Source organism: Homo sapiens, chromosome 15 (genome assembly GCF_000001405.40).
Source record: "Homo sapiens chromosome 15, GRCh38.p14 Primary Assembly".
Lineage (NCBI taxonomy): Eukaryota > Metazoa > Chordata > Mammalia > Primates > Hominidae > Homo > Homo sapiens.
Genome location: NC_000015.10, coordinates 69913707 through 69923348, shown reverse-complemented (window position 1 = coordinate 69923348; position 9642 = coordinate 69913707). Strand labels below are relative to the sequence as shown.

Below are 9642 nucleotides of genomic sequence, written 5' to 3'. Positions count from 1 at the left end.
GGATCCTGATTACTCTAAGAAGGGTAAGGTGAGAGTCATGTCTTAGAAGAATTCATCTGGTAATGAGATGAAGAGGGGATTGGAGAGGGGAAAAGCTGGAAATGGGCAGTGGACAAGGCAATCATGCAGGCAAGCAGCGAGGAGAGCTGTGCTAAGGAAGTGCCAATGAACCTGGAGAAGCGACAGGAAGGTTTCCAGAAGCCTGCTTTGAACGTTTGATTTGTCTAACCTTAAAAGTGTTCATTCATACAGCTCTTGAGAGCATGCTAGGGTTTGTAAGACATTAACTGAGGGGCTTCTGTGTCCTGAGGTGAACATTTTGAAAATATTTCCAGATGCTCAGCCAACTCAACAAAAATCATTAAAAAACCAAACCAACCAACCAAACAAACAAAAACAATAATAGCAGGAATACTCTGGCCACATCTTAGATCAAAGTGATAAGGATGTCTGAAAATCTTTAACCCAGAGACAAGAACTCAGTAAATATAAATAACGATATGATTTGCATCTTAGACAAGTTGAATTATGTATTTCTAGGCAGAAACCCAGGAACACTGGTGTCTGCAAATGGGACACACAGGGATATAGCTACATTTCTGTGCTTCCTTTTTCTTACATGTTAAGTGAGGCAACTGGACCAGCTCTCTAGCATCACTTCTCGTAGAGTTTATGGGTTTTTTCATTTAATTTTTTCGAATGTTGGGATACCTGGGTAGACAGGTATGTGTGGTTCCTTCTGTGCCTCCGTGTATGTGTGTGCATACGTGTATGTGTGTGAGATCAACAACCATATGTGGGCCTGTGTTTTCCTCTCACTGTCTAGCCATGTCTCTTGCTGTCAGCTTGCATGTGTGTTCATAATCATTTGTTTGTTTCTTCCTCCCTCTCCTCCTCCTCTCGCTGCTTCCCCTTTTTACTCTGCCCCGAAACTCTGTGAGATGCATGAACATTTCTCAGTTATGTGATGTTCTCAGCAGGAGGATGGAGCCAAATAATGGTGTTTCTAGTTATTACTCTGATGAATCACAGGGGAACAGCCTTCACCAAGGTAGAACGGCTTGCATAAAATATGTTCATTCAATTAAAAAAAAGAAATTGAAAAATAAGATACTGCCAACATGGGGCACTGAGTTATGTAGGGTTTATGCAGCATTTAATTTGCAATTCAAGCAAGAAACACACCAGAGAGGCACCTGTGAGGAAGCTCCCTGGAATGGGGGGAGGGGTTCCCACTGTCAAATAAAAACCTTATGCCTCAGATGAAGTTTCTGGAATATGGAAGAGGGGAGTGTAGATAGTTCCTGGGTTCCCCCAAGCTAGTCTAAGCAATGGATTCTATGCTGGAGATACTGTGGCCCCTAATAGTGAGAACTGGCTGGCTTGTGACGTCTACAGCCTAAGTGGCCATGTTTTGCACCATTTGAATCCCTGCCCCACAACCTCAGCTGATCAGCTCAGGCACTGGTACTTGACCCAAAGACACCAGCCTGACCTGGGAGGTGGCCTGACACAGGAATGACAAGCCAGGCCAATCGGATTTTGTCTCTCTCTGACTTCTGGCACTTCACTTGAACCTGACATCAAGAAACATGAAGAGACCAGAGCAGTTAACAGTGGAAGCTATGAAGGAGAGCAGGTCATGGTGACCACAGACAAATTGAAAGTAAGAGGGAGCAGAAAGTGGAAAAGGCAGAAGATGCAAGTTAGGAGACAGAGGAGGGTCTGAGCAGAGGCTCGGGGAGAAGCAGAGATCTCATGTGGCAGGCAAGACAGCGCGGCCCAGGAGGGAGGTGGTGGGAAGAGGTATGTGCCGGGCATTGCTTTAGAAACTGGGAAAGAGACAAAGGTCTCTCTCTTCGTGGAGCTGATGTTTTAGTGGGCTGTCCCTGAGGGGCTGCTGTGGTCTACACCTTTGACCTGTATGACCACATTTTGTATCATTCCCTGTCCATTTCATTTTCCTCAAGCCCCAAAGGATTGAACCTTGGGAATATCAGCTCCTACCCACATGGCAAGATTTGGTTGCAAGCAACAGAAATGAACCTTGGCTAACCTAAGCAAAAGAGGAATTTTAAGGGTCTTGGAACTAGGAAAGATATGAAGGTAGCTCAATAGCATTGATGGGGTTTCATGAATCAGGCCTCTCTCACTCCACCCCTTTCTCACTTTTGCCTGCTGGGCTTGCCTACCTTCTGCAGACAAGACCACACATGGCAGGGAAAATATTCACCATCAACCCCTGCTCACACTATCCCAGCTCAGGATCCCCAGTAAAGAGAATAATCCTAGGGAAGATTCTGATTGGCTGGGCGTGGGTCAGTTGCATCCCCAGACCAATCACTGTTGCCAGAGGAAATTAGCCAGCTCAACCTATCTAGACACCTGTGGCAAGAGGAGTAGGCACCTTCACAAGATTAAAAGAGCTAGAGGAAGAAATGTGAGAGGCAGCAACAGCAGTAGTTACCATAGTCTAATGTCAAAAAAGAAAACCTCAAATAGCAGAGGCCGGATTTGGCCCCAGGCCCCATCCACATTACTGGTCTTCCAGGCCCTTGGAGAAGGCATTTTAGACCATGTAACTTTGAGTCTATTTACTAATCACCTCTGAGAAGGGGGCTGCTGGGATACATTAGGATAACTCGATTGTAAGATTTTAATGACATAAGATCAAGACCTCGGGAGGCCTGAGCCCTGCAGTCGATCAATTCACATACCTTTCACTCAGGCCCAAGTGACTGAAAATCATTTTGCTCCCCGAGCTCTTAAAGGTCAGGAGTTGGATGCCTCAAGAAAATCTCTTTCTCTATCACAGGAAACCTCTTGCATTTAGTGTTCTGTCAATCAGGGCCACCCCAGGAGGCCTTAGAAGGGGAGTGCAGAGAAAATGTGGCCTGTGTTCCTTTCTTCCTTTTTTTCCTTTTGGCTAGGCTGGTGCATGTGTGTGAGTGTGTGGTGTGGGGATGCTGGTTGGGGAGAGAAGCCCCGGTTCTCAGAATTCACTTATCCTCTCCCAAGCTGTTGCATAGTGCCTGGTTTAACTCTCAGAGCAATGAAGCCATTTCTGTCCCTCAAAACAAGCCTGCTTCAGTTTGTGTCAGTTTTGAGGGGAGACAGAAAAAAACTAGGGTCACCACTGAGATGAGGACACCTCCCCAGTCCACTCCAACACCCCAGTCATCTCCTCAAGAAATCCCTCTTCTTCAAATTGGCTCCTGTAGTTCAGGGCAGGTGTCCAAAATGCAAATGAAGCCTCAGTGCCTCCGTGCCCCAGCTTGGCAGGGACTCTGAAGCTATGTGACCCTCTCTGCTAACTGGCCTGCAGCTTAATGACATGCAAATGGGAGGGACACAGTCTGTCAAACGGGGCCTAATCCCTTTGTTCCTACCTGCCAGCTGGGCAGCCTTTTCTAAACCAGTTTTGGCTGGGAGGACAGCTGCGAGGTGCTGATGGGGAGGCTGGGCCACGCAGAGCTGGTTGCCTGGTAGCCACAGGCAGCACTGGGGGCCTCAGGTGGCGGATGAGCCCTCAGAGCCCCCACCATGAAAGTAGGGGTTCCTTGGCCTCTGTGTTCACATCCTGGGGTCCTTGAGCCTCCCAAAGATTTGTAATTCTAAGGGAAGCATGTGACCTTGAGCAGGGGCCCTCTCTGAGTCTCAGTTCCCTTGCTTTTAAAATGAGGCAGCTGTTATTGATGACCCCCATCTCCAACCCAGCCTGAACAGCTCAGTTCTTTCTGTCTTATAAGTTGGGGTTCTAAGCAAAAAAAAAAAAAATTAAAGATTCATCTGCTAAAATAAATGCTTGAAAGCCATTAGATTCAGTGATCTGCTGTGCCCTTTCCATCTCTAGCAGGCTGGAGCTGCTGCTTGCCTCACAGAGATCTTGTGAGATAGGCAAGCCCAGGTAGCTCCATCTCTCCATTTCACAGATGGTAAAACTGAAGCCCAGAGAGGAGGAGTGAGTTTCTCTGAATCACACAGCCAGTTTGTGTCATGCAGAGACCAAACTGTATTCTACAGATCCTAGATGGGAGTTCTCTCTGCTGAAACTCACTGCATAAGATGCAAGGTAGGGTCAGAAAAAGAAAGGGCCCTTGGTGGGTTTCGGCCCTGGCACTACAGGTCTATAAGCATGTCTGAAAATTTACTCCTCAGATTTGGTGGATGACGACCATGAAGCCAGTGCTGACGTTGGTTTCTTGGCCAATTGTGAGTGCATGTATAGCTGCGTGTGTGTGTGTGTGTGTGTGTGTGTGTGTGAGTGATAGGATGATTGCCTACACAATGTTCTTCTTAACAGCATCCTGTGGACCAAATGCCATCCTTGCCATGCCACCTGACACGGTCTTGTGTGCATTCAGCCAGTGTTTACTGAGCACCTGCCTGGAGCTTGGCACGGTGAAGAGGACTCTGTCCTTGCCACCAGGTCGCCTGCAATCCAGTGGGGGAATCTGCACACATCTGACATCTCTGAGCAGGGCTGTCCTTTTGGGCCTTGGTTGTCAATTCCAGTTTATTCCCCCACCGCTCGCCGCCCACCACCACTCCCCCTGACCCCCACCACTCCCCCTGCCCCACAGGGCAGCCTATTCCTTCCTCAGATCTGAGGTGTATAAAATCTGGGCAGAGGTGGTCTCAGTTGAATACTCCTGTGCCTCATTCAGGTTCATGGAGGTTCCCACTAATTTTGCGAGGCTCTGGGTGAGGACTGTCACTCACCAACTCATTTAATCCTCACGACAATGCTTTTAGACAGGGATAATAATTATTCCCATTATGTATCTGAGAAAACTGAGGCTTAGCAAGAAGAGAAAATGCCATGATCGAGACCAAGCGGCTAATAGGGAACAGAGGAAGGAGAATAAGGGGGATTGCTTTTATAATGACAAACCCATGGTTTTCTCAACTACATCCAAGTCTTCCTTTAAAAAGATCTCTGGGGAAAGGTTAGCTAATGACCACAACTCCATTGTTATATTAATAACCTAATGGAGGCCACTTGATGGAGCAGAAAGATCACCAGGAAGATGAGGTTGGAGCTTCCACTCCCTTAGTGGCCACTGTAGGCCTGGAAGATGTCATCTCATCTCTCCAGGACAAGAAGCGGTTGGGCCAGCAACATTGGGAATTCCTTCCCAGCTCCGGCCCTCCAGCGTGCCAGGAATTTCTCAGGCTCCTACCAGGCCCTTGGTTGAATTATAGTTCATCAGGCTTTGCAGAAAACGAAAAACCAGCTAATATTTGCAGACAGCCAGGAATTTGACTATTTTCTAACTAAAGCCGAAGATGCCAGAGGGGATATTAAGTATCTGTGGGATTTATTGATCTCTCAGTCCCAGGCTACTTGGGAAACAATTAGAGGTCAATACACAACAAAATGAAATTTGCAGCTGTCAGATCAACCATTTGGAAACATTCCCTTGCCCTTTTACCTCTATTTTCTGTCAAGAGAAATCGTTCTCGGGTACAGAGCCGACGTTGGGGCTGAGGAGCCATGCACTGTGCTTGCAGGGAGGGCAGCCTGAGATGCCAATTAGCTTGGCCCTGCTGAGAGGGCCCTGGTCTGGGAGACTGGGGTCCCGCTCTGACCTGCTACTTACTCTTTGTGGGATCTGGGACACGTCACCCCATTCTCTGGGTTTGGCTGGGATTTTTCCTCATCTGAAAAATCCCACCCTGAGTCTAAAACCCTCTCCTTGTTGTCTTCTTGCTTAGCTTCAGCTGCAAATGATTTTATGTGAAATCTGCCTCCTTAAAACCACTCTGAGTTATAAAAGAACACATTTAGGTATTTATGGTCTCCTTCCCTTTCTTAACCCATTTTCCTTCCCCCGGCATCCTGTCCTACCCTTCACCCTGGGCTTAGCTTGTGCCCAGCCAACTGTTGGAGAAGTCCTGGTGAAAATGTCCACTAAGATGGCTCAGTGGTCCTCTATCTGAAGTATTTATGTTTTAACTGGGAGACTGGGAGACCCAAATACATTATTAGCCTGTGAAGATAGGCTTTCAGATACATGACACCTGGAAGTGGGAAGTTGTTTTTAGACGGGGTTGGGAACTGATGCTCTGAGTTCCCACTCTGACCCAATCCGTCAAATACCAGGGAAACTCCAAAGTGAGAAAACATTGACTGTGTCCTTTACTGCCAGCCTCACACCCCTTATCTCTCCAAAAGGGTAAGACAGTATTCAGCATGTCCCAAACTTTATTCCATGGAACACTCAGAGAGCCTGGGGTTCAGCCTGAGCTGGCCTCACCCTCATTTTAGTGCTGAAGATTCTGTAGTCAGCAGGCAGATTGTGTTACTGCCAGGAAGCTCACAAGAAGCTGGGAGGTGTCTGCGGGCAGTCTGGGTCTTTGCTCTTGGGCCCAGGTTTTCCCACCTCCTTCCACTTGGTGCTAAAGACATTATTGAGTCTGGTCTTGCCAAGGCTCCCTCTGAGGAGGGCTTCCAGAAAGCCACAGTTCTGGACTCAGCATCTCCAGGCTCCCCCTTGCTCCACAGAGCTGGAAGTTCCAGAGCTCCCAAGGGGGCCTGTCCAAGTGGAACATGAATTCATTTTTGCTTCCTCCTGACTGGATCAGCTCCATCCTTGAAATGCTGCTTAAGAGTAGCTGAGCTCAGGTGCCTGTGGCAAGGAGGATGGTGCCTGGGGTGCTATTCTCAGAGCAATTTGGGCAGGCCATGCCTGCTCTGCATCTCCACGTGGCTTGTGCCCGGGGACTCATGTTCCCAATGTCTTTGCCCCAGGCAGGAGGACATCCACAACTGTGCTCAGCTGCATCCTGGGTCAGCTGTGTAGTGTGGATATGAAACATCAAATCTGCTGGCTTGAAAGCAGGGGAGAAGGCACCTCTGCCCTGCAGGCTGTCTGCCCACCGCAGGCAGTCTCCAAACCTGCATTTGCAAACTTTGCAACCTCTCTTACATGAGCCTTGCTTTCCAGGCTCATTGACACCCTGAGACCGAGGCCTCCCTTACCCTCCCTTTAGTATTGCAACAGCTTTTGAGCGGCTCCCCCTGCCTCCACCAGATACTTTCCTCCAACTAGATCCCCTTCTGCTCCCAGCCACTCAGAGCCCTGAGCCCCCTCACTGTTTATGGGTGTAACTCTCCCACACATGGTGCTAAAACTCTCTGGTAATGGCAATGGTTGCACAACCCCGAATATACTAAGAACCACTGAATTTTACACTTAAAAGTGTGAATTTTATGGTTATAAATTATGTCTCATTAGGCCGTTATTAAAAAAGAAAAGAAAAATAACTTCCTGGACACATTCCCTTGTTTATTGCAGTGTTTCTCAAACTTTTCCACCAAGGCACCTCTAATAGAGGAGAGGTGATGGAACCCTTGGGTCTGGAAGTAGCCTAAAATTATCTGTCTCAATCATTTATTCATTCATTCATTCCACAAGTATTTATTGTGCATTTCTTATGTGTTAGAAATGCAATAATAAACAGGTGTAAGCCAACCCTTATATAGCTTAGTTAAGCAGAAAATTTCTTTGAAGTCTCATGTTTTAATTTAAAACAGCATGTGCATTTTACATTATAGTCAATAATATATCTGTGATCATTTATTTATTTTTATATATGTTTTTGAGACGGAGTCTCGCTCTATCGCCCAGGTTGGAGTGCAGTGGCATGATCTTGGCTCACTGCAACCTCTGCCTCCTGGGTTCATGCAATTCTCCTGTCTCAGCCTCCCAAGTAGCTGGGATTACAGGCACTTGCCACCACACCTGGCTAATTTTTTTTTATTTTTAGTAGAGATGGAGTTTTACCGTGTTGGCCAGGCTGGTCTTGAACTCCTGACCTTAGGTGATCATTTAAATACAGTATATTTTTCCAAAACTCCTCAGCTAATAGTGTTGTTCTAGGAAGATACTTCTTGCTGGCCCTGGGTTTCATATACCTTCCCTCCAATCACCCTGTTCCTCTGGGGAACCTTTAGCTGTAGAGGGTATTGAGGTGGACTCTCTAACACTGTATCTACTCCATCCTCCTTGGGCAGCAGCCTGAATTTGGGGGCTTATCCTCAGCTGAGAGGGAATGCCTGATTGGTATAGGGGTAATCATTTTATCCTTGTTACCAATGGTTGGTTCAGGAAGACACATGTGGCCCAATTCTGGCTAAGAGGACATGAGGCAGGAGGTTTTGCAAGAGTGAGCTACAGGAAGCTGCAGTCTTCTCCTGTCTCCTGCTATAAATGAACAAGGAAGCCCTCGGCCCTGACTGCTGTTTGTAGACCTCTTGTGTCCATGAGAACCAAGCAGACATGCAGACAGGAAAGTGGAGCTGAGAAAATCAACAGAAATAATTGAGCTGGCTGGAGCCCCAGCAGACCCGGTCCTGAAGCTCACATAGTTTGTGTGTGTCAATGCATGGTTTAGACCTTTTCAGCAAGTCCAGTTTATGTTGCCACAGCTATGAATACCCTAATGATTGGAAAGGACTAGAGGTCAAAGTCAAACTTCTTAGCCAGGTTTTTAAGCCTTCCATAATCCGCAACTGGGTCCTTACCTACTTCCTCAATACTTAGGCGAGTTTAAACCTCGTTTGTCATCTCCATGTCATGCTGTTCCTTTAGATTACACACTCTTTCCTGTACCATTATCCTTTTTCCTATCTGCTTTGCATTGTTTGCCCCTTCTGAGGATGCTGGTGTCCTCAAAGGAACTGCATGTTAGAACTCAGCTGGGTTTGCCCGTCTCTAAAGAGAGAGCTGGGACCTCCCAGTGGGCCTCACTGAGCCGGCCTGGCCTGAAACGTGCAGACGGTTGGGAGACACAGGAAGCAGAGAGAGACAGAAGGAGGAGGGAGAGAAATGGGAGAGGGGTGGACAAGCCCAGGATGGAGAAAGAGAAAGAGAAGAAAGGAAAGACATCAGCCAACATTAGACAGAAAGGTAGAGAAAACCAGAGCAGGTAGAAAGAAAAGGGAGGAGGGGGAGAGACAATGAGCAAGAAGGAGCAGGGGAAAGAGGAGAAGAGGGAGGAGGCAAAAGGCCAGGAGGTAAGAGGAGGGCTGCAGGGCAGGAGCAGGGACGGGGCTGAGCAGGCCGCAGGAGCCAGCGGTGAAGGAGCCAATCGCGCTTCGTGAGTGCATAGCTAAGTTCCGGTGGGAGCAATTTTATCAATAGCACTTTACCATACAAGTGATTCTCATCACAGCTGGTGCTAGGTGGGTTGGGAACAGCAATAAAAAACCAGTTTTATTAAAAAAAAATCATCCGGCTTATTTGAAAACACAGTACACACGCTCCCTCAGGCCCTGGTGGGAGAGGCCAGGGTGGACAGATAGCCCCTCAGGGACTCAGGCTCAGTCCCAGCAAAGTATGATGGGGACAGACCCTCCAACACACACACACATGCACACACACACAGGACATAGGCCAAGTACACAGCTATTAAGCTCTCCATGGAAAAGAGCTAGGGTACTGCGGGAGCCCAGCCGACTGGGCTGGAGGTCGGTACCCCTGGCAAGGCTGGGGACCAGGAACAGAGGGGGTACTTCCAGGCCCTGTGCCAGGCACATCCACATGTGTGATCCTAGGTCATATGAGGTGCTCTCCAGCCTCACATGGCTTGTCTGGGAAATGCAGCCTTAAGAAATAAGGCCGCCTATCACAAAGG

General features: G+C 47.9%; 3 annotated features.

Annotated features, from left to right (window-relative positions):
* Positions 2717 to 3339: an enhancer, noted in NCBI's record as "H3K4me1 hESC enhancer chr15:70212349-70212971 (GRCh37/hg19 assembly coordinates)". NCBI's record gives its function as "activates a minimal SCP1, AML or CMV promoter by ChIP-STARR-seq in naive H9 embryonic stem cells {active_cell/tissue: H9 hESC(naive)}" and the evidence as "EXISTENCE:reporter gene assay evidence [ECO:0000049][PMID:30033119]".
* Positions 3340 to 3963: an enhancer, noted in NCBI's record as "H3K4me1 hESC enhancer chr15:70211725-70212348 (GRCh37/hg19 assembly coordinates)". NCBI's record gives its function as "activates a minimal SCP1, AML or CMV promoter by ChIP-STARR-seq in naive H9 embryonic stem cells {active_cell/tissue: H9 hESC(naive)}" and the evidence as "EXISTENCE:reporter gene assay evidence [ECO:0000049][PMID:30033119]".
* Positions 6783 to 7284: an enhancer, noted in NCBI's record as "H3K4me1 hESC enhancer chr15:70208404-70208905 (GRCh37/hg19 assembly coordinates)". NCBI's record gives its function as "activates a minimal SCP1, AML or CMV promoter by ChIP-STARR-seq in naive H9 embryonic stem cells {active_cell/tissue: H9 hESC(naive)}" and the evidence as "EXISTENCE:reporter gene assay evidence [ECO:0000049][PMID:30033119]".